We start from the raw sequence: 24,941 nt of genomic DNA, 5'->3' as shown, positions 1-24,941 counted from the left end.
GATTCAAGCATGTTTCATTTATTGTGCATCTTTCTTTCTATTATTATTACATACTCACCATAATGTAGAATCAGTGGGAGCCCTGAGCTTGTCTTCCTGCAACTAGATGGTCCCTTCTGGGGGTGATGGGAGGCAAGGACAGATCATCAGGCATTAGATTCTCATAAGGAGCCTGAAGCCTAGATCCCTTGCATGTGTAGTTCACAGTAGGGTTTGCGATCCTGTGAGAATCCAATGCCACTGATCTCACAGGCAATCAGATCCTAACAGGCCATGGACTGGTACCAGTCTGTGGCCCAGGGGCTGGGGACCCCTGTCCTAGACAATCCAGATGGGCCTGATTCAATGCATCAGAAGGCCTTAGAAGCAAAGCTGAGGCGTCCTTGATGAAGAAGAAATGTCATGGTGGACAGCAGCATCAGCTGGTGTCTGTGAGTTCCAGCCTGTCCTTCCTGATGATCAGCCTGCCCTATGGATTTCAGACTTGCCTCGTCACACCTCGCAATTAAGCCAATTCCGTGCAAAAAATCTCGAATTATACATCTCTCACGGGTTCTGCTGAGAACCAGGGAGTTATTCAGTAGTTGTTAAGCCAAAGGGCATCAGAATAAAATAACACAAGGTCAAATCTCATCTCTTCTCCCTGCGACCTTCGTGGCTGCAGTTCCTTCAGCTATAAAGTGGGGATCTCGGTGTTCGGTGCACAGGCATCCTGTGAAGGGTAACTGCTCTCAGGAGTGTGTACGTTCACTACACATCAGGACTGAGTGATGGCAGCTGCTCTTATACTGCTAGGCTATTCTGGGCCATGAGCAAATAAATGTTCAGACAAAAAATGCGGCTGGTGTTCCCTCACCATTGCTTGACATCTAAAGTTTAGGGCCTTGGAGTGACCTAATCCGGCTTCCCCCAGCTTGCTCCCGCAGTAGGCAAGAGGGCGCCTGCGCACACACAGACACGTGGACGCTGCACCCCAGCAGGTGCAGGACACCGAGGCGGCCGCCCAGCTCCGGTCATGAAAGCAGCCAGGAGTTCCATCGGTCACCCATCATCGCTCTCCTGGGAGTTTTAATAGGTGTTTTGGTTACAGGACTCCAGGTCTCGCTGCTCACTTGGTGAGTCGTGGCGGTCCTGCCGGCCCTGCTGCCGCCGCACTCGGTTTCGGGGCTGCGGCTCGGCTCCGCACCGCGCGGCGTGGACGCGCTCCTCCCGGGGGCTCCCGCGCCTCCCACCAGCGCCTCCCGGCGAGCTGGCTCGGCCTCCAGCCTGGCGAAGCAGTGCCCTCTGGCGGCCACGCACTGCAGCAGCGGCTCGCTCGGCAAGACGGAGGCCGAAACCTGAAACCGGCTCTGGGCCCTGATTTCTTTCTAAGCCACTGTTTTTTGACTTGGAAATCCATAAGAAATCCAAAATTGTAGGTTTTTCTCTTTTTTTATGAAACAATTTTTGTATTTTCCACAGACAATAAATTAGATGTTTCTGTTCCTGGTAGTGCCCAATGTGAGGATGGATACATTTAGCACCTGCACATGTGAAGGTGACCCGACATTAAAAGTAGGGAAACTCCGTGTGGATTTCGGTGATGAGCTACACGTTCACAAAACCACCCTTGATAGTCATTTCCACAACTTCCAGTCCTGAGAACTGGTCACTCCAGCAGGTTTAAGGTAATAATCTGTGGGTCAAAGTTAAGTCAAAGTTAAGCCTTGGATACGCAGAGAGGAGCCGCCTCTTTGTCTATTTACCTTGTCACTAGCCATCCGCGTATGGACCTCAGCCCCTCGTGTCACCCCTCTGGGTCTCCGTCTCCTAACCTAGGAAAGAAGAGGGTTAAAATAGAGCCTCTTCAGCGTTTGCATTTAGGATCCAAGGGCTAGTCATTCTGGAATAGTCATTCATTCAGCAAATACCACGTGTCAAGTGGAGAGGGTTCAGGTTCACCAGGGAGCAAACCTGTGCGTTCCCGGATGTTAAATTGTAGCAAGGGAGAAAGGTACTAAGCAATAAACCTAAAGATGACACAGTGTGTTAGAAGGTGAGAATGAACGCCAGGTGGAAACTGGCACAGGTGTGGGACTCGAGAGTGGTAGCCCAGGGAAAGGCTGAGGGAGAGGCAGTTTCAGATGACGGAATCAGGCCAGGACTCTGAAAAGTGTCCTTTGAGCAAAGACCTGTAGAAGGGCATGAGAAAACCACAGGGTCTTTCTGAAGAAGAGACTTCCAGGCAGAAGGAAGCCTGCAGAGGCCCGAGGTGAGAGCGGTCCGTTAAACTTGCGGACCAAGGAGAAAGCCTGTGTGGCTGAATCAGAGTGGCTGAAGAGTAGCGATGGCTGGGGAGGCTAGGAGGTCACAAGAGATGGTTACACAGAACCTGCTGGGCCACCGCAAAGGATTTGCCTTTGACTCTGAAAGAAACGGGGCCATTGGAGGTTTTGAGCAGAGGAGCGGCACGATCTGCCTGATGTTTTCACAGGTCTGTCTTAGCCTGCTCGGGCTGCCATACATAACAAAATGCCATAGACTGGGTAACTTACACAGCAAACATTTCCTCACAGCTCTGGAGGCTAGAAAGTCCAAGAAAGTCCGGTGAGGAGGCTGGGCGCTGTGACTCACGCCTGTAACCCCAGCACTTTGGGAGGCTGAGGCAGGTGGATCACTAGGTCAGGAGTTCGAGACCAGCCTGGCCAATATAGTGAAACCCCATCTCTACTAAAAATACAAAAATTAGCTGGGTGTGGTGGCACGTGCCTGTACTCCCAGCTACTCGGGAGGCTGAGGCAGGAAAATCACTTGAACCCAGGAGGTGGAAGTTGCAGTGTGCCGAGATCACGCCATTGCACTCTAGCCTGGTGACAGAGCGAGACTCCATCTCAGAAAAAAAAAATCAAAAAGGCCTCCATCTCAAAAACAACAACATAAAAAAAAAGAAAAAGTCTGGTGAGGGTCCTCTTTCTGGCTTGCACACGGCTGGCCACCTGCCCACTGTGTCTTCACATGGTAGAGAGAGAAAGTAATGCCTGGTGTCTTCTTCCTCTTCCCATAAGGGCACTAATCCCATCATGCAGCTCCGCCTGTGTGACCTCATCCAAATCTAATAATCTCCCACAGGCCCCACCTCCAAATACCATCACACTGGAGGCTGGGGCTTCAACATACGAACTTGGGGGAGATTCAAGTGTTCAGCCCTTAACAAGGTCACCCAGGCTACTGTATGAGCTACTGTAGATCACAAGGGTGGGCGGAGATGGGGGCAGGAAAAGCAGGAAACCACAGTGAGCATCGAGGCGAGGGTGGTGGCTGTGGCTTGGGCTGGTTTGGTAGTAGTGGAGACGGTGAGGAATGGTCAGATTCTGGAGAGACTTTGAAAGCAGAGACCACAGGATTTCCCAACAGGTTGAATGCAGAATGTGAAAGGAAAAAGAAGTAAAGGATGATTAAGTCTGAACGAAGTAACTGGAAGCTGTTATTGAGAGGGGAAATTGACATGGGTGGGGCAGAGATCTGCAGGGGGGCCAGATATTTCATTTGGGACATGTTGATAAACTTTAAGACATCTGTTTGTGAAGAGAGAGAAGTGAATGTGCAAAGTTCAGGAGATTCAGGGGACAGTTGTTGCTAGAGATAATTTTCATCCTATAAAGAACGTGGGTTCTAGAGTCAGGCGGATTTGTGCTCAAATCTCAGTCCTGTTACTTACTGTCTATGTCAGCCTGAAACAATGTCTTAACTTCTCTGAACCTTGTTATTCAATATTTATATTTTCAGCTCCTCATGTGTCAGGCACTGTACCAGGTACTGGGATTGAAAAAATAAGCAAAGTCCCTGTGCTCATGGACTCTACACTGGTCAAACAGGGATGAGAATGAATGTCCACTTAGTGTTCATTGAATGAATAAAGCGTATAAACTGCCTCAGGCACTCAGTATAGTGATTTGCCCAGTAAATAGCTGCTCTCACCACGCTTTCCTTGCTTTCTACCCATTGGAGGACAATTTGTGTTGCATACTCGGACTGACAAGTAAAGATCTAGAGGACATTTTGGGTGCCACGGAAACTATAGAACTGATTCCCCAAGACTAGAAGGTGGTCCAAAATACCAGAAATTATAGAATAATATGTTGCCTGCACAGCAGAATACAGCCTCTGATTTTCCTTCTTTGGAATTATTCTAGAGACCAGATACTAAACCCAGCTCAGGGACATTGTAACAATGACCAAAATTGAGCTGGTGCTTGAGGATGCATGGGTAGTCTAACAAGCAAATAGCTGGGGCAGCATCTTACCATGAGGGTTGTTCTCATTGTAATCAGCATCCTCTTAGATAGAAGCGCTACATTTCTTCTTAAGTGACGAATTTCTGGGATTGCTTCTTTTACTCTAAGCTAACTCTTGGAGATGAAAAGTCAACCACAGAGAGATCACCAAGGGTGAGAAGAGGCCCTGGGATGGAAGTCTGAGGCCCCTGAACATTCAAAGGGTGGGCAGAGAAAGAGGCTGCCAAGGGTGCTGAGAGGCAGTGGCTGTTGAGATGGGAGAGGGCAGAGGGGAGCGGGGAAGATCAAGAATGGGAAGTGGGGGCAAAGGGCAGCCCCACGCAATGCTGCAGAGAAGACAAGGAAGTGGAAGCCGGGGAGGTCGCACTGGATTTAGCAATGTTACTTCCGTCCGTGGCCTTAGTTGCATCCAGGGAGCAGTGGGCTGACGGATATATGAAGGATAAGGAAGAAGAGACAATGGACAGAAACATAATTCAAGATATTTGGCTGTGAAAAGCAAGAGACTGGATTATCTAGACAAGGAAAATGTGAGTTTGAGAGAGAGTTTTTCAAAGGAAAGAATGGTGAACACTGTTCTAGCCTGGCGTGCGTTGTGCTCGCTTGGAGGAGGATGGGGACTCATGACAGGAAAGTGGTGGCAGGAACAACTTGAGATGTGGGAGTGCAGTCTTCCCCAAGGGAGAGTGCAAATATCAAAATAGAGGACTACGGGCTGGCCTGAAGAGCACAGCACCGCCTGCCACAAGCACGTGCCCAGGGGAAAGTACAGAGAAGTGAGGGAGTGAATGAGGGGCTGGGAGTCCTGGGACAGCATCCTGAGCTCAAGTAGGGTTAGATGAATGGAGAAACACTTCCCTGGTCATGGCAGGAGCCATGAGGAAAGATGAGAAGAGGATGCTGGGGAGTTTGCAAGTGAGGCCCAATGGATGATTTCCATTGTTCTATGAAGTGGGAAGAGACTCAGTCAGGCTGAGGGCCAGGTGGATCAGGAGTCTGGAGACACAGAGGATATTCCTTAATTATTTTCTTGTTATTTCCAAGACTTTTTAATTTATTTATTTATTTATTTATTTATTTTCTTTTATTATTATTATACTTTAAGTTTTAGGGTACATGTGCACAATGTGCAGGTTAGTTACATATGTATACATGTGCCATGCTGGTGTGCTGCACCCACTAACTCGTCATCTAGCATTAGGTATATCTCCTAATGCTATCCCTCCCCCCTCCCCCCACCCCACAACAGTCCCCAGAGTGTGATGTTCTCCTTCCTGTGTCCATGTGTTCTCATCGTTCAATTCCCACCTATGAGTGAGAATGTGCAGTGTTTGGTTTTTTGTTCTTGCAATAGTTTACTGAGAATGATGATTTCCAATTTCATCCATGTCCCTACAAAGGGCATGAACTCATCATTTTTTATGGCTGCATAGTATTCCATGGTGTATATGTGCCACATTTTCTTAATCCAGTCTATCATTGTTGGACATTTGGGTTGGCTCCAAGTCTTTGCTATTGTGAATAGTGCCGCAATAAACATGTGTGTGCATGTGTCTTTATAGTAGCATGATTTATAGTCCTTTGGGTATATACCCAGTAATGGGATGGCTGGGTCAAATGGTATTTCTATTCTAGATCCCTGAGGAATCGCCACACTGACTTCCACAATGGTTGAACCAGTTTACAGTCCCACCAACAGTGTAAAAGTGTTCCTATTTCTCCACATCCTCTCCAGCACCTGTTGTTTCCTGACTTTTTAATGATTGCCATTCTAACTGGTGTGAGATGATATCTCATTGTGGTTTTGATGTGCATTTCTCTGACAGCCAGTGATGGCGAGCATTTTTTCATGTTTTTTGGCTGCATAAATGTCTTCTTTTGAGAAGTGTCTGTTCATGTCCTTCGCCCACTTTTTGATGGGGTTGTTTTTTTTTTCTTGTAAATTTGTTTGAGTTCATTGTAGATTCTGGATATTAGCCCTTTGTCAGATGAGTAGGTTGCGAAAATTTTCTCCCATTTTGTAGGTTGCCTGTTCACTCTGACGGTAGTTTCTTTTGCTGTGCAGAAGCTCTTTAGTTTAATTAGATCCCATTTGTCAATTTTGGCTTTTGTTGCCATTGCTTTTGGTGTTTTAGACATGAAGTCCTTGCCCATGCCTATGTCCTGAATGGTAATGCCTCGGTTTTCTTCTAGGGTTTTTATGGTTTTAGGTCTAACGTTTTAAGTCTTTAATCCATCTTGAATTAATTTTTGTATAAGGTGTAAGGAAGGGATCCAGTTTCAGCTTTCTACATATGGCTAGCCAGTTTTCCCAGCACCATTTATTAAATAGGGAATCCTTTCCCCATTGCTTGTTTTTCTCAGGTTTGTCAAAGATCAGATAGTTGTAGATATGCAGCGTTATTTCTGAGGGCTCTGTTCTGTTCCATTGATCTATATCTCTGTTTTGGTACCAGTACCATGCTGTTTTGGTTACTGTAGCCTTGTAGCATAGTTTGAAGTCAGGTAGCGTGATGCCTCCAGCTTTGTTCTTTTGGCTTAGAATTGACTTGGCGATGTGGGCTCTTTTTTGGTTCCATATGAACTTTAAAGTAGTTTTTTCCAATTCTGTGAAGAAAGTCATTGGTAGCTTGATGGGGATGGCATTGAATCTATAAATTACCTTGGGCAGTATGGCCATTTTCACAATATTGATTCTTCCTACCCATGAGCATGGAATGTTTTTCCATTTGTTTGTATTTCTAATCAAGTCTGATACTTAGAACATGGCACACTGTTATCCATAGAACCACCTCCTCTGGCCCTCTCTGTCCCCAGGCCAAATCCATCCTCCCTCTAGTTCCCACAGCCATTTGTACACATCTCTCTTATGGTTCCAACCATATTCATTACCCAAGTTTTGGGGAAAGTCCATTGAGGATGAATGGGGATGGTGGTAAAATCCAACCAGATTAGTCTTAACTGCTGTGGCCGTCACACAAGTACCCTGGGATCCTTCCAGATTGAACTCAAACTCAGTTTGGTTAGGGTCTTCCGGTGTTTTTGTTACAGTATGCAGAAGGTGACAGCTAATACCCTTTTCAGAGTATTCTTCTCTGAGGTCATGTGGGAGGGGTGCTGTATTGGAAATTGGAATATTTCCAAATAATGGTTCCCATGGTTCTCTGATGAGTGGTCCAGACCTAGACCTGAATGAGCATTCATCTTCTCTTCCTCTCTCCCTCCTCCCTTTCTCTCTCACAGACACAGACACACTCACACACACTCTAAGTTCTAGGAAGTACAATGTACATAGTTTGCTCTGAGAGGGTCCTCATAGCTAAGAGTAAAGACAGTCACAATTCTAAGGGTTCCAAAATGAATTGTGTGGTTGAACAGTGGCAACCAACCACCTTCTCTTTTCTTCTTTCCCTATTCAAATTAATGTTCTTTATAAGTGAATACATCATAGGTATCTACATACGAAGAGAGATTACAAGAAACACCAAGACTCTGGCAAGGGTTTCCTAGAAATCATAAGAAAAAGAGCATCTTCTTTGAACTGTTGAATCTTAGGAGTTAGCAGGGGATTGGGAAGATTTGAGGTTTACGGTTAGTTCTTTAAAATGATGCAGCAGTCAGGAGAACACTCACTCCTGGAATACATGAAATATCCCCGTTCGCAAAATGGATTGGAGGAGTTGGGAGTAAGATGATTTAAAAGTGGGCCAGGCACGGTGGCTCACGCCTGTAATCCCAGCACTTTGGGAGGCCAAGGCAGGCAGATCACCTGAGGTCGGGAGTTCGAGACCAGCCTGACCAACATGGAGAAACCCTGTCTCTACTAAAAATACAAAATTAGCCGGGTGTGGTGGTGCATGCCTGTAATACCAGCTCCTCAGGAGGCTGAGGCAGGAGAATCGCTTGAACCCAGGAGGTGGAGGTTGCAGTGAGCTGAGATCATGCCATTGCACTCCAGCCTGGGCAACAAAAAGCAACATTCCACCTCAAAGAAAGAAAGAAAGAAAAAAGTAAAACCAACATTAAGCTTCAATGAAACCCACCTTATTCTATCAAAATTTAAAACACACACATAACTTTAATACAGCAATTCCACATGCTAAGTGATATAGGTATAGTGATATCCACAATAGCTTTTTCTTCTATAACAGCAGAAGGTTGCACTTTCATAGAGTACTGGTTAAACCTGCATAATAGAATATTATGTAGCCTTTAAGGAAATGGGAGAATGTTGACATGGGAGGACCTCCAAGATGTATTCATTTAGAAGTATGGTGAATAGCATGAAAAATCTGCTCTCATTTCTGTATGGCGAAATACATATGCAATTATATTTATAAATACAGAAGAGTTTCTCTGAAAAGATGGTAATTTTTTAAATAGTTTCTCAAATGCATACATTACCTCTCAAAGTTTATTACAAACACCCTCTTCTCCCTATTAAAAATGTGTCTTTGTATCAATTGTGGTACGCTGAAATTAAAAACCCATTATTGTCATGTTGATTAATTTCTAGGCTATCCAGACCTAGACTTGTTTTTTCTTTCTCAGTAGAAGATATGGGTGGTGGTGTCATTTAGCTGTATAATATTGAGCAAGTCAATCATCCATATGGACTCAGATTCTTCATTTGAAAATGATAATCTTAGACTCAAGATGACTTCCAAAAAATATCTTGCTGGTCTAAGGTGCTATCATTATATGACTCGATTATGCATATTTGAAAATAAAGCAATAAAGTGGCAAAGAGAATCTGGGTGGATGTCAGAGGGTGAGTTCTGGTGATGGCAGAATTGCAGACAACTACAATTTTCCCAGTATATTTCATTATTTGACCACTTTATAAATTCCTTTTCATTTCTACTCCATTCATCTTTAAAATACCCAAGAAACAACAAAAAAGGCATATTCAACTGAAGAAATTTATTTACTTTTTTCTAGGTACATAGATGACATAATTATAGACAAGTTTTGATACATAGGAAAACCCTTCCGTCCACCTCTCTTTATGCTAAATGAATCATCACAATAATTTTTACAATTTTTAAAACAATACACAGCTTTCTTGGGCTGAAGCAATTGCAAGAACATATTGGTACTGGTATATTACAGCTACTTACAATGTTTTTAAGAACAGCAATGGAGAAAAATAAGTTATTTAAATATTGATTTCATATACAGAAAGTGCAATGTTGTTAGTTGTTATATAACTTGCTCGACAGTTTCTTTTCTCTATCAATTTTAAATCAAGATAACTTGGACTCAGACTATTATATTTTTTTCTGAAAATAATACAGTACACACATGGCAGCAGTGACTTGGCAAGTTGACCTTTTTTGCTGCAGTTATGAAAGCAAACTTTACTATGTCAGGAACTGATTTCCAATAGATTAGTAATTTCCAATTTCACCCATACCTGGGGGTTCAGGACAGAGAAAAGGGCCTCTGACTAAGGCAAGGCCATGAAACAATATCTTAGTTATCTGGGTACATAAATAGTACTAGCTGGAGCTGACTGCATTTCCTTCCAGACAGCTTTGAAGTGAAAATCATACACAATGTTATGTGTAGCTACCTGAGCCGAACTGCCTTTCCAGGTTTCTTTTGTGCTTTCCAAAGACAACAATTTTCACCATTACTCAAAATTCTGTACCAAATGCAACTGATTAAAACTGGATATTCCTGAAGCCTACCACCTGTTCACTAATGTCCACAGGCAGCCCCAATCCACCTCAGTCAAACGTCACACCCAAACATTCAGCTTTTCTCAGACCAAATTAAATGTTTACAGAAAAAAAAAAGACCAAACGCTAAAGATATTTTTAAAATATTTAAACAACACAATAAAGTAAAAACAACCTCAGACCCCTCAGACTAGACATTCCCACTGAAAATTCTTTGTGGTCCCTGAATTTGATTTTCTATGCAAAGGCATTGATTTCCAAAGAAGTGTGATAAAAATGTGGTTTGGCATTCTCAAAAACTCCAGAAAGTTCCCTCTTCTGCTGCGACTTTCACTGAAATGAAAATCCTTCATGGAGAACGAATTAAAACTTGGAAATTCACATGAGATTTCTCTCGCTCCTTTGTTATCTCATCTCTTACACAACTTTTGTGTGGTTTTTTGCTCAGCTTAAACAATGACAGGATCTGTCCAAATGTCAAGCCGAGGTATTTTGAGAGCAGGAAGAGAAGAAGCCTGTCTACAGCACCCACATCCACCACAGCACGTGAAATGCATTGAACGCTTTAGCTATACAAGAACCCTGCAGCTTCATTACATTGCAAATAGGCTAGGCCACAACCCGAGAGGACAAACAAACATGAGCTGTTTTTAAGAGTTCAACAGAAATTTGGCAGCTTTAGCTTTTTATTCTACATTTCCACAACTTCTTCACATGGCATCTTATAGAAGATGAAAATTAATTATTAAAGAAACATGCATTATTTTTTAAAAATGCATACTAATGCATGAAAAAAATACATCACCTGAGAATGTCTTTTTCCTCAGAAACATGGATCCAGACATAAGCAATATGCTAAAGATGGCTTTCTAATTAATTTATGAAATCACTTCCCCTCCAACCCAAGGGAAATTATTTGTTTTAATAAGTAGATGAAATATTATAAAATGTTCAATCAAGGGCTTGTGGTCAAGGTGTTTCTATTATAAATGATTGACCTTTATATTTTAGATGATTGCATTTGATGCTTAAAATAGTGTTCATGATAAGAATGTAAAGGAAAATCATTTTGTAAGCAATGGAAACCATAATAGTTTACTTGTTTAAATTTACTGTTTGCTAGAAAACCAGACACTAGACTAAAAGAGGACAGAGGCCAGGTGCGGTGGCTCACACCTGTAATCCCAGCACTTTGGGAGGCTGAGGCGGGTGGACCACCTGAGGTCAGGAGTTGAGTTTGAGACCAGCCTGGCCAACATGGTGAAACCCTGTCTCTACTAATAATACAAAAATTAGCTGGGCGTGGTGGTGGGTGCCTATAATCCCAGCTACTCGGGAGGCTAAGGCAGGAGAATCACTTGAACCTGGGAGACTGAGGTTGCAGTGAGCCAAGATCGTGCCATTGCACTCCAGCCTGGGTGACAAGAGCGAAACTCCATTTCAAAAAAAAAAAAGGATAGAATGTGCTGAAATCAGTTGTAAAACAATTTAAAGTAGCAAATACTTAACACATGGCTAATGAGATTTGTCTGGTTCCATAGTGAACCTTTGTTTAAATTAAAAGAATTATCTAAATAAAAAAAGAAGGATAATAATAGTATTAGTTGTAATACTGAAAAGTCTTTTAGAAAACATCTTATACATGACTTCCCTTATTAAGGACATCTTTCTGAAATATGCAGCCTCACAGTGACCTTTTGCAAACATGATCCGTTAACTGAGGACTGAATTTTGGGATGGACATGGTCAGGATTCCAAGTCAATACTGCAGCGCGACGATCCACACAGTAACGATACTAAACTGGTTAAAACCAAAAGCAGTCACTATGAATACAGACACACACGCGCACGCACGCACGCACACACATGATATTTGTGAATTTCAGATAGCTTTTTACTAGATTTGTAGTTAGCTTAAAAACCAAAAACCAACATGAAGTGTGTGGCTGATGAATACCTCTACAAAATAAGCCATGTTACAATGAGACGATTAGAAAAGCTCACTTTTGCTGGAAACATCCCAGAGAGGTTCGATGTCTGCCTAAGCTGAAGATGTGGAAGTATGGTTACAGGGTTGTGGACACTAGTTAGATAACTGCTTAAAAGCTTATATTAAGGCAAATAAAAGCTGATTGCTAGAAAGCAATTATGAAAATGTCTCTTGTTTATCTAAAGAAGAACAGGACTTTTTTTTTTTTTTTTTCCTGGTGCAGCCAGATGTTCTAACTTTTGAACAAATGAGCGTGGTCAGTAATGTACAATAACTCTTGAGTCTGTTACTTTGGCCTAGCTAAGCCCATCTGGCCCTCGGGCATCCTGCAAGATGACAGACAGAAGAGCAAGGGCACTATCAGAAATGGAACAGGCTGCCCCCTACTCCTCCCAGCCTCTACCAGTACACAGAGACAGACTGGAGATAGAGCATTCGCAGCCAGTTGGCATCTTGGTTCTTTTGTCTTCTGAAAATAAAAATAAGTGCTTGTCTTGTCTTTGGGGGTCAAAGAGAACCGCACTAATTTATTTCCTCGAGGGGGCTTTTCTGGAGGAGAGGATCCTCAGTCCTGTGCCAAGGTTTCACGCTGTTTGGCCACACGCCAGGCCTTTCTTCTGGATCTGGTCTGCACGTCCAGAGATGATGGAGGAATTGCATCAGCATCATATGCACAGTGAAAGGGTGGCTCTTGTCCAGAGAGGCCCATTCCGGGCCTGGCTACATGGCCTCAGGGCCTGGCGGCAGTTTGAAGAGTCTGGCTGCAGATAGGAGCTTTCTTATGTGTCTCTCCTCTGTGATGCCGGCCTCCTGAAGGCAAGTGTGAGACAGAGAAGGCACTTGGCTCAGTGTGCTGAAGCCCGCGGTGGAGAGGGTGCCGGCGTACATGGGCAGACCGATGGAAATGAGCCAATCTGACACAGACGAAATGCACCCAGGAGAGACGGGCTTTCGGCAGATTTCCGTGAGTCCACCACTTGGAATCTGGATAAATTAAGAAAGAATATGATAGAAACGCTCCATGTGTCATCGAGGACTACTTCGCGTATGTCTAAAAGGAACAGCACTGAAATACTGCATTGCTAGACTATTATCAGAAAGCGACAATGCAATGAGTGTCAGAGATCAAGACTAGCAGGAAAAATTCTTCTCTAAGATGAAACAAATCTTTAAGGAAGAGTTCCACAAGGTTCTCGAAGGTGTTGGAATGAGGTCAAATCCCATTTATGTGTCCGAGTCTTCAAACTATAAGCATTTACATATTCTGCTATTTTGTTTCACTGTGGATATGCTCTTGACAAAGAGCCCTAAGGTAGTCTGAAGGGACAAATCTGGGTGATCGTGTGAAATGTAGCATTCAGTGGGTAGGGTTTTTATAAAGGAGACTTTCCACTGTATTTTGAATCTATGTTAACAACCAGAAAATTACATGTTTAGTCAATACAAGTTATGAAGAATTTAAAATACAATAATATCAAGGGTTGGCTGGAACAGGGAAGTGGACATTTAACCTTGACTACTGGGTATATAAAGGGCCTGCACCTTTCAGAAAGGTGATTTGCTAACGAGTATGAAAATCTTTGGGATTTTATACAATTTTGATGAAGCAAACCATCTTCCAGGAATATCTACTCAGAAATTAACCTTTAAAGTCTACAAAGATTTATTAACAAGGATGTTCTTCATTACATTATTTAAAATAAAAGGTTAGAAAAATCTAAATGTTTTAACTATGAGACTCACTACTAGAGTACACTGACCTACTAGAATACTTTGAAATACAATAGCCACCCCCCTGCTTATCCATGGTTTTGCTTTCTACAGCCTGAAAATATTAAATGGGAATTTCCAGAAATAAACAATTCATAAGTCTTATATTGCATGCCATTCTGAGTAGTCTGAAGAAATCTCACACCACCCAGCTCTGTCCCACCTGACAATCATCCCTTTGTCTAACAAATCCACGCTGCCTACACCACCAGCCCCGCAGTCACTTAGTAGCCCGTAGTCATCAGATCAACTGTTGCGGTAATGCAGTACTTGCATTCAAGTCACTCTTATTTGACCTTACAATGGCCCCCAAGTGCAAGAGTAACGATGCTGGCCATTCGCACGTGGCAAAGAGAAGCCCTTAAGTGCTTCCTTTAAGTAAAAAGGTGAGAGTTCTTGACTTAATAAGAAAAGAAAAAAAATTGTATGCTGAGGTTCCTAAGACCTACAGTGAAAACGAATCTTCTATCCATGAAATTGTGAAGGAAAAAGAAATTTGTGTATAATATATACAGGGTTTGGTACTCAGCAAGCTTTCAAGAGATCCACTTGGAGGTCTTGGACCATAATCCCTCATGGATAGGGGGAGACTACTGTATTGATGATATCAATTTTTTTTTTTTTAAGTAACAGGGAAACAGATTCATGATCTGATAATAGCCAACAATCAGGTTTCGGTACTATACATTTACGCATACATTACGCATGTGCAGAGAAATGACTAGACAGAGTTTTAATGGACAAGTAAAAATTGTGTGTATTTATGGTGTAAAACGTGGTGTGTTGATAAATGTACACATTGTGGAATGGCTAAATCAAGCTATTTGACATATGCATTACCTCATATACTATATTTTGTGGTGAGAACACTTAAGATCTGCTGTCCTAGCAATTTTCAAGTATACATTGTTATTAACTGTAGTCACCATGTTGAACAATAGATCTTTGGAAGTTATGCTTCTAACTGAAACTGTGTCATTCAGACGGATTTTATTTTATTTCTTAAGAGATGGGGTCTCACTATGTTGCCCAGGCCGGCATCAAAATTCTGGGCTCAAGCAATCCTCCTGCTTCTGCCTCCCAAGTAACTAGGATTACAGGTGTGCACTATCACGCCCAGCACTAGACGGATCTTTAAAAAGTTTTTCACAGTGTTGGGATTACGGATAATTTTCATTTTTTTTTTCTTTCTGAAAGTGTATTTTTAAACATTTCTAGGCTGACCACATATTACTTTCTCCCCAGCTGTCTCCTTTCCATAGCTACGCAAGCCCTTGCCTACTTGGCAGTTGTTAGTATGGTCATCACTAAGCGTGATCACTAAATGTGCCTCAGGAAGCTGGAGAACTGTGGGCTGCTCACCGCCATGCGGTGCTGCTTCCGAAGCTGCTTCACCCGGATCTGGTCCATGTTGGCGGCGACGTCCCGCTCGGGCTGATCCAAGTCCTCTGCGTATCTCTGCACCAGGGCTTCAGGAATCCCACAGCGGCCATGCTGCCAGGGAGAACAGGAATATGACATCAAGAGTCATAAGGATTTTGTTTTTCTTTCCCTAAGATACACCACATATAACGTAGGGTCTCACTGTCACTTAGACTGGAGTGCAGTGGTGTGATCATGGCTCACTGCAGCCTCAAACTCCTGGGCTCAAGCGATCTTCTCGCCTTGGCCTCCCAAAGTGTTGGGATTCCAGGCGTAAGCCACCACACCCAACCCAAAAGTTTGAATTTGAAATGAATATATTTTCTTTATTGGTCAGGATGAATGCTTTAGAGGGAATACTTTTACATCTTTATCTTAAAGTACTGATGAGCTCTAGGAAAATGTTCTGAAGCATAGTTAAGGCAGAACACAATTATTCCACATTTTTCAGGACAATGCCTTCGCCTCAATCAGATCATTTTGCAAAATACAACTCCTCTAATGTTACTGAAGAGAGTCTTCTAAACTGCAGGAGAGAAGGGCTAACTTCTGCTTTACAGATATTCAACTGTTTGCACTTTATCTGCTACAAGTGATACCACCAGCTCACTAGGCCAGCATTTACTGTATGGTCTTTCTCACTACCTTTCATTTAAAGACATTCACTCAGGAAATATCAAGGAGGGTCAGAGAGGTGGAGGAGGATCTGATTCTAAGGCATTCATTGTCATGAGAATTTTATAATAAAGGACTCTCAGGAATGCATCCTAATAGGACCTGTATTTCCAGGAGTAAAGTACTGCTGTATCTGTTAGCATTGCTTTGTCTTTGGAGTCACTTGGTATTGGTAGATCTCATTTTTTTTGAATGAGAAATAATTTTTCATTATACAGCTAAATGTTTTTGGTACAATGGGGGATTTTATATTATCTTTTTCCCATTACCCATACAGATAACTGTATAATACAATTATCACATCTGAATAGGGTTCTTTTGTCCACATTTATTTTATTTGCTCCTAGTAATCCCTCTAAGAGGTCTTCATGCAGGTTATTTTTAACCTCGGTTTACCTACGGAGAGATGAAATGGGGTGGTGTCAATATCTGAACACATGCATGTCAAGTAAGGTGTGGACACGTGGATTCAGGTGTCTCCTGTCCACTGGGCGGGCTACCGGGCTGGCTTCAGATGTGGGTTCATCTCACCTGGCTGCCTGACTTCTACAAACAAAGGCCTGTGAACGTGGTGGGCCCAGGACCTTTGATACCTTATCAGAATACGGCTCCTCCGTGAGATCGATGCCTTCAGCGTGCAGCTTGTTTTCAGTGAGCGTTTCTAGATCCACTCCCCGGGCACAGGAGACCTTCCTGGTCAAAGCCGGGCCCAGCTTCACACCGTGCTCCTGGAGGCTTGTGTTCTCGGGGAGCTCTGAGAGCCAGGGGGGCGGCCTTGTGCTTGGTGGGCTGCCAGGCGCCTGCCCTGAGAGAGGCCTGGGAGCCAGTGCTGGGGGACAGTCGCTAGGGCTGGTGGGGCTGGCGGGGCTGCCCCTTTTCACTGGCAGGCATGGCGCATCGGGACTGGGGAGGGCCCCACTGGGGCCCATGGGAACAGGGTGGAGTCCGTTAGCAAGGCGTTCTCTGCTCTTTTTGGCAGGAACAGGTGGAGGCTGTGATGGAATTTTGGGCTGCATTCTCTGCTCAGCATCTACCCCTTCTTTGGTGCCCAGGGGATGGTGTGTTCCTTCAAACTCGTGTCCTTTTCTGTGGCCCTCCAGAGGCGTCCTTGCTAAACCGTGTTTAGCTCCAGGAGGCTGAGCATCATAGTTTCTGGGCAAACACTGAGGGGGTGACAGGCCGCGACCAGAGGCTGCGATTGAGCCCTCCAGTTTCTTAGTTGTCAATTTCTGAGGTTCAGAAAATCTCTTGCTTTGGGTCAGTAGCAATGCATTGTCGACAGCAGAGTCTTGCTCCAGGGGCTGGGCCTTCGTGGAAGAGGCGGTCGTCTTCTGTGGCACTTCAGGTACAATCTGAGGGGGCGGTTCTGTCACCTCGGTAGGCACGTCTTGCTCAGCACCAGGCTCCACTTGAAGGTCATCCAGGGAATGGGATCGGGGCCAAGTGTCCACAGTCTGGGGGCCCTCCAGGGTCTCACAGCTCCGGCAGATGGAAACTGGGAGGCTTCTTCGGTTTTTATTCAAACCAGTCACACCAGGTGGGTCACAGCTCTTGGACGTGTCTGGGGCAAGGCCACCACCCAGCCTGCCCTCCTCCTGTCCCTGCTTCAGTGCATCCCCTGATTTCATTAAAGGCAATGTTGGGTAATTGCCCAACTGGTTTCTGCTAAAAGACTTCAAGCTGGGCTCGGTGGATGACTTGGCAGATAGGAGGCTAGCTTTCCGAGTCTTGCCTGTGAGACAAGGGAATATTTTACAATCACATTTTAAAAGCAAATCAATCAAACGGATGCATAAAGTTGTGCTAACATAATTGAAATCTCCAACACCCACATCCTATTGTTCAATTACACTAAAAACATAAAATCACCATTTATGACATCGGGTGATAGAGGGTTATTATGGTTCCATTTTTATTTTTAGAAAGAATTCTTAGTCTTATTAAAGGAATCATGAAGACTGAAATTAATTGGGTTACATGGGAAAGAAATACGCTGTGTCAAGCAGTAAAATAAATCTTGGCTTAAGTCTGTGCCCCACTGCAATCGACGTGGAAAGAGGCTGATCATCATACCGCATATTGATGAGATTTGTTGGGTGAGTACAATTTCTCAAGGTCATGATGGAAAAGGAGAGCTGGACTGAATTTCACAACAGGTTCTATAAATGGTATCCCCTACAGAGTGATCTGTGAATACTCAAATCCCACCTTCCCTGAAGCCCCTCCTTCTAGTAAGTTTATCCTAGAAGCAATCAACCAACCTGGACACAGACAGGTAAACTTTTGTGAGTACTTTGCCAAAGAAAATCTACAAAATACTGATAAAGTTTTAGGTCCCAGCAAAGCAACAGTCCTAGTTACAACTGCCAGACTGATAACTGAACTATCAACCAGACATAATCTACTTATCTGACGACTGGTAGTTGATACTAAACTGCTGCTGTTGGATAAGCTTTGCCAAGAACTTACAATTCATGGGCCAGACAATGTGCTGAATGCTTTGTTCTCATCAGTACTTACATGTGCGCGCGCACACACACACACACACACACACACACACTGTCCCTTGTTACATTTTTGGTTGATAACATGTTTGTTGTGTGCTTTGACCCTGTCCACCTGTATGTTCCACACTGATAAACACCAACATGCTATGCATTTGTAGGATATTATTGTTGTTACATAAAGATCATCAGCCTAGTGCTACTACTGAAGATATTGACCATGGTCCTACTTTTCATTATTAGAAAAATCATCACAACTTAAGGAGGCCAAGGCAGGTGGATCACGAGGTCAGGAGATCGAGACCATCCTGGCTAACACGGTGAAACCCCGTCTCTCATAAAAAATATAAAAAATTAGCCGGGCATGGTGGCAGGCGCCTGTAGTCCCAGCTACTCGGGAGGCTGAGGCGGGAGAATGGCATGAACCCGGGAGGTGGACCTTGCAGTGAGCCAAGATCGCGCCACTGCACTCCAGCCTGGGCGACAGAGCGAGACTCCGCCTCATAAAAAGAAAAGAAAAATCATCACAGATAAATGAAGAAATACCTCTTCAGAAAAAAAAAATTGCATCAGATTTTAAAAGTGGGTTGAAATAGAAAATTATTAGAACCTCTTTAGCATAAATTTAGAAATATGACTTTCTTTTCCCTTAACTCCCAATATAAAACTATATATATAAGTTCCATTTTTGCATTCTGCATTACATTAGAAAGATCCCTGAACTTACTTTGAGTTCAAAGTATGGTTCGCTAGCAATCTAGTTCTTCAGCAGGTACACCTGAATTCATTTGGGCATGAAAAATTCTGCCAGTGATATCTGTGAGATCCTTACCAATCACCAACAGTTGGGGGAATTAATTTCCTGAAAAGTTTTGGATATGAAAAGGTTATTAAGAGAAAAAAAAATTCTTCAGAACCTACATGAGCTACATAAGGATTCTGATGTTTACTGAAACTGAGGATGTACTGGGATACTAGGTGAGTTTTGCATCCTGTCTTGACCGAGGCTATCTGAATATTATATATAGTTTGGGGAGAACTACTATCTTCCCAAGTTGATAGAAAACCTTGAATAGCAGGGCATCATGGCTCAAATTCTGAGGTCCCCAAGATGCTTCTTAGAATTGGAATTAGAGTGAGGCAAACAAGGTGCCCAGAGGACAAACTCTAAGGAGGTGAATGCCCAGAGTCATGTGAGTGCAGGGCTGGTACCCGAGAGTGAGCACTTGCTTAGGGTTTGCATCCTGGACACCCACTTTCCTGTCCTTAGCCCTAGTTTTGGTACCCACAATGGCTCTCAAACTATTTTTTCCCATGATTCCCAGTAAGAAATACATTTTACATTCAACATGTAGTACACAGAGACACACATGCATGTACACAAGCACAAACACACACACAGACATAACTGAAACAAGGATTACAAGTGACAGTGCTAACAATACTAACCTTTATCTTAGGGGATGCTCTCTGATATTTTGTATTCTATTTTGTCTTACAAAACTGCTGTCCATGACCCACTAAACTGCTTTCATGACCTACTAATAAAGTACAACCTGCATTAAGTTTTAAAAAAGTTTGCTTTAGTAGGTGCTCAGTAAATATCTTAACACATGGGCTACTAGATAGGATTCCAATGGCTGCTAAAAGCTATCAAACCTGGGCATTTTTTATGACGGCCTTCAAGAGTTTGACAGAGATTTAGGTCACTGTGGCAGCGTAAGCCTCTTACCACTGTTTCTCATCTTGCTACAATGGGAATTCTGGGGTCACAACAGGAAACCACAAAGCCATCCATGGTAACGTTTAGCCCACCTGACCCCATACCACTTAAGACTCCTCTTCTGTTTGAGACAAGTACCTTTTCTGAAATTTCATACTGATTACACTTCCTGACTGGCTGTACAGAGAGGCCACAAACAAGACATGTGGCCATCCAATCCTTCTCTCCTGCAGTAACTGCCTCGACATTCAGGCCATGCAGCCGAGGCATTTAAGACACTGCTGCTGGTATGACCCTGATGGATGGTCTACCTGGTAAACTGTTTTCCTTATGGACCTAATAGCTCCCAACACTCCAATGTTGGTTTTTATTGCATACAGAAAAGGGCATAGGAGACACACAATTTAGGTTTTACAGCTGCAGGTATTTGACACAGAATTTATTAACCTCACCCAGCAGCCAGGAGAATAGATAGGGAGGCTAACTTGGACTAGAATGGTGTAGAGGTGAGAAAGGAAACGATGATTGCTGAGTTCATGACAGGAATAGAATCGTCCTTTTGCAGAAAACTGTGCTTTGAAATCAGTACTTGTCAAAGCAGGTTCCCAGCGACTCATGCTGACATTACCGTTTTCCAGGTTCTCACTGCTTTCGTAGCATCCTGAGTCTCGGGGTGAGCATCCACTCAGGCCCTGGCTGTCAACGAGCAGCTTCTCCTGGGATCCTGACTGGTCGCTGTTACCTAGAGGAGAGAACACGGCATGAAATCAACAAGGTGAGTGAAAAGCAGAGGTTTCAGAGTCAACAGATCTCGACTTTATCCTCAGTTACTGCCCTGAGCTTTTGGAAGAGAACAATTTATCTTAAAATAGATGAGATCAAAATGAACTAGTGTGATCACAACTTTTCTTCCAATAAGGTATTCATCGCACGAAGATAAGTTTGGAGAGAGCACACAGTTGGAATATGTTGACACCTTTTAAGTTAGTTATGCGAACAGAAGCTGACTCTGGCCTTGGGGCTATGAGGAAAGGAGAAAGGTAGAGTGTTGTTTTGGCAGTGGGGCTCCCAGACCCTTCTGAGTGATGGCACCATCAAGGAGAAGCAAAGAAAGAATAAACGCCCCATTCACAAGGTGAGATTAGGTCATATGTTTTTCGGAGATCTGTAAGACTTGTGCTTGAAGACAGTTATGTTGCCAACTTTCCAAATTTGGGAGCTAATATTAAAGTGTCAAATGAAATAAATTTTATTAGCATTTAGGAGCATTCTTAGCCCTCAGCAACACGTGCTGAGGGCTCTTGTATTAGCTCAGCAAGAGTAAGGCTGGCAAGACGAGGCACAAACCCCAAAACTCAGGACAGGCCAGTGGCAAATCTTCTTTTGTTTTTGTTGTTTGGGATGAGTTAGAGGTTGTTTTTTCTTTTCTGCTTCTCCTTTTGTCTTGTGCCAGCACATTTTTGTCTCCTGCATATAAGTAAAAGCTGGGGAAAGCTTAGGAAACCCTCGAACTTGGAAGCTGAGTAACAGATACATGCTTGCTGGTATAGATAAATGGATGACTGAAAACTGAATGTCCTCATTCTGAGTGGATAAAGAAAATGCAGTACCTATACACCATGGAGTACTACTTGGCCATGAAAAGGAAAGAAATAATGTCTTTGCAGCAATTTGGATGGACCTGGAGGCCATTATTCTAAGTGAAGTAACACAGGAGTAGAAAACCAAAATCCACACGGTCTCACTTGTAAGTAGGAGCTAAGCTATAAGCACATAAAGGCATACAAAGTGATATAATGGACTTCAGAGAGTCAGAAGAGGAAGGGTGGGGGGAGTCTAGGGATAAAAAAACTACACATTAGGTACAATGTATACTACTCAGATGATGGGTGCACTAAAATCTCAGAATTCACCACTATATAATTCATCCATGTAACCCAAAACCACTTATACCCCCAAAGCTACTGAAATAAATAAAAAATAAAATAAAGAAAAAAAAAGGAAGACCTCATTCTGAGGAAGGCTTTTAAAGAGAAGCATCATTATTTGTCAACTGTGCCTCAACAAAGCTGGAGGGGAAAAAAAAAAAAAAGCAGCATCGGACGCTTCTGTTGAGTGAATCTGCCCCAAGTAAATCACGTGGAAAGCCACGAGGGCCTTCAACACCCTAGCAGCATCACCCGGCATGTTGTAGAAAGGGCACATGGAGCCTTACATGGGACACTGAGGTTACACGCAGAACATCTTTGCATTATTATGCAGAGTAAGTAAGTGCTTGGTCACATAAAACAGAAACCAAGAAAACATTTTCTACACAAAATAGCTAGTTGCAATGATGAATGGCTTTATTTTCCTTTCTTTTCATCCCCCACCAACTTCCCCACTCCAACCACATACACAAAGAAAAAAAGAAATCAATAAGCCAGAAATGTGATGCCTTTTCTCAGGTCATCAAAATAAAAATGCGGGGAGGCAGAAGGCTCTGGCAGCTCTCCGGCTGTCCACCACTTCCTGCTTGCATTTCTCACGGGGAAAGCATTTTACAGCCCCAACTACAGCAGAGATCGTGGCAGCGTAAGTCCCTCAATTAGAATCCCAAATTAAGAGTGCTACTTTTAAAGTGACTAATGAAAAATTAACTAATTGGAAGCACAAGAGCAAATACTGTCCCCCTGACCACCTAAAAGTGGAACATTCTAGAGCGGTGTCCTCACTGTGTGGAAGAGCCTGTGGCTTTGCAGTGGCCTTTGTTCTGGCCTAGCATGTTATTTAGAAAAATGATACTTATAAAATGAGGGCTTTGTGCTATCCATTACAACCCAGGGAGAGGAGTCGGTGTACTCTGTCCCTGGTGACATGGTTCAGTGCACCACAGTGGCCAAAACAGACTCCAGAGTGCTGGGTGGGAGTAACACAGAAGACCTGCTCCTACTGCAGCATGGAAGTATGTGCTGTGCCTGCATCTTTGGGGACCCCAGCCTCAGCAGACACAGCAGAATACCTGAAATTATTTTGGAGAAGGAGGGGATCCATTGTGTCACCTGAAAACCACAGTTGGCGTAAGGAAGGGGGCTAGAATCGCTGTCTTCATTAGGGAGAAGAGAAAAAGAGGTGAGGTGCCTCTCCTCTGTAGTGCAGAATCAAGACCATGACCTTTTCCCACACTTGTCAGCGTGGGTGCCAAGGTACAAAAGGTAAGAAGGAAGATAAGCTAGAACGCTGAAAATTCTCACAGTCAAATCACAGCAAAGTGCTAGGTTGTGAGGCTGTAACCCCATTTGAGCATGACCTGAACTTTGACCTGAAGGGACTCTGCTTGGGCTAAGCTCTCTCTGCCTCCAGCCTCACCAACCACACACACACACACACACACACACACACACACACACACACACACACACACACACAGAATATGCTAAGACACCTATGAATATTCCAACATCAAAAGGTAGTGGTACCCAAAGGCACATAGCATTGCCTGGGGAGCAGTTACCTTGGGAAAGAAGAGAAGGGAATGGGATTCTTTGAAAGCAGGACTTTCTGTGGGCTTACACCATATTTCTTAAAATGTAAAAGAAATAAGAAAATATGGCAAAACATTAACTTCAGCATGTGCATGCATATGTTTGTTTGTTTTCTTTTCCTCTGTACTTTTCTGCATGTTTGAAATAATTCCTAATTAGAATTCTTATACAAGTTATTGTTTATACTTAGAAATGGCTAAGACAGTAAACTTTAGATTATCTGTATTTTACCACAAGTAAAAATTCTTTTAGCAATTTGTAAGAGGCTTTCATTTGCCAGACCTAAGATAGTGGGTCTGGGCTTGGCGTAAGGAATAGCCATCTGACAATTAGAGTCTTTTCCCAATGGAACCCTATATGATGGCTGGCATTTTCCCACGCTTCGAGGGAGGCTGGACGGGTCTGACTTCCAAGTAGTGCTGGAAATGTACTTTTTGCTCTCAGTTATGGCTAAGCTAGAAACCTTTCAAGATCCCTACATATCTTCAAAGATCTCAATAGACCTCTGCATCTCCCTAGTGTATGGAAATCTTGTTTGACAGAAACCTATCATGTTATCAGTTAGAGGCACTACTTCTTAGCCACGATGACTTTAACTGTATTGGATGTAAAAATCCTATAATGCTAGGAAAAGTCTGGACCCTGACTCTTGGCACTAATGGGTACTCTGGAACCTTGAAGCCTTTGTTTTAGAACCAATAAAAGGAAGTACAACTTTATCTATCAGGGACGTTCTAAACACCAGAGCAGAATAGATCCACAATGGAATGTCTGAAGAGGCAAAGAGGTCTTCTTCACCTTCCAGGTTAGCAACCTGATGGATAGCGATACCCTCCTACAAAATGCTCCTTGGTACAAAAATCTCAGGATGTGATCCCAGGAGGAATGATGGGTCTCAGCCAAAGTGGCATGGAGCAGTCTAAGCACAGATTCCTGCCTTACACTCAGGAGTTAGCTTTTCTCCTCCAAAGCTGTGGATGATAAAGGAAATGTCATGGAGAGTATATATAAACCAGCTGTTGGTTGGATGCAGTGGCTCACACCTGTAATCCCAGCACTTTGGGAGGCCGAGGTGGGCGGATCACCTGAGGTCAGGAGTTTGAGGCCAGCTTGGCCATCATGGTGAAACCCCGTCTCTACTAAAAATACACAAATTAGCCATGCGTAGTGGTGCATGCCTGTAATCCCAGCTACTCGGGAGGCTGAGGCAGGAGAATTGCTTGAACCCGGGAGGCGGAGGTTGCGGTGAACCAAGATCGCACCACTGCACTCCAGCTTGGGCAACGAGAGTGAAATTCTGTCTCAAAAACAAAACAAAATAAAACAAAACAAAACAAAAACCCCAGCTGTTCTTGGTGACTGAGGAAGAGCAAGT

General features: G+C 43.5%; 1 protein-coding gene across 17 annotated transcripts in view, besides 1 other annotated feature; it reads right to left on the bottom strand.

Annotated features, from left to right (window-relative positions):
• Positions 1,201-1,380: a silencer, noted in NCBI's record as "silent region_17651". NCBI's record gives its function as "represses an Ori minimal core promoter by ATAC-STARR-seq in GM12878 lymphoblastoid cells {active_cell/tissue: GM12878}" and the evidence as "EXISTENCE:reporter gene assay evidence [ECO:0000049][PMID:35858748]".
• The window catches only part of SASH1 (SAM and SH3 domain containing 1), a 358,577-nt gene continuing 342,818 nt past the window's right edge, over positions 9,183-24,941 (bottom strand). For all 17 annotated transcript variants that reach the window (XM_017010599.2, XM_024446384.2, XM_017010600.2 and 14 more), the window contains 4 exons: positions 20,671-20,784; positions 16,409-17,547; positions 15,081-15,212; positions 9,183-12,932 (listed from right to left, as the gene is read on the bottom strand). In XM_017010599.2, coding sequence (XP_016866088.1) covers positions 12,669-12,932; positions 15,081-15,212; positions 16,409-17,547; positions 20,671-20,784 — 1,649 coding nt within the window. In that variant the 3' untranslated portion in view covers positions 9,183-12,668. The remainder of the gene's footprint in view (positions 12,933-15,080; positions 15,213-16,408; positions 17,548-20,670; positions 20,785-24,941) is intronic.

This window comes from Homo sapiens, chromosome 6 (genome assembly GCF_000001405.40).
Source record: "Homo sapiens chromosome 6, GRCh38.p14 Primary Assembly".
NCBI lineage: Eukaryota > Metazoa > Chordata > Mammalia > Primates > Hominidae > Homo > Homo sapiens.
Note: the sequence above shows the minus strand (reverse complement) of the source record. Positions and strands in the feature narration are given on the sequence as shown.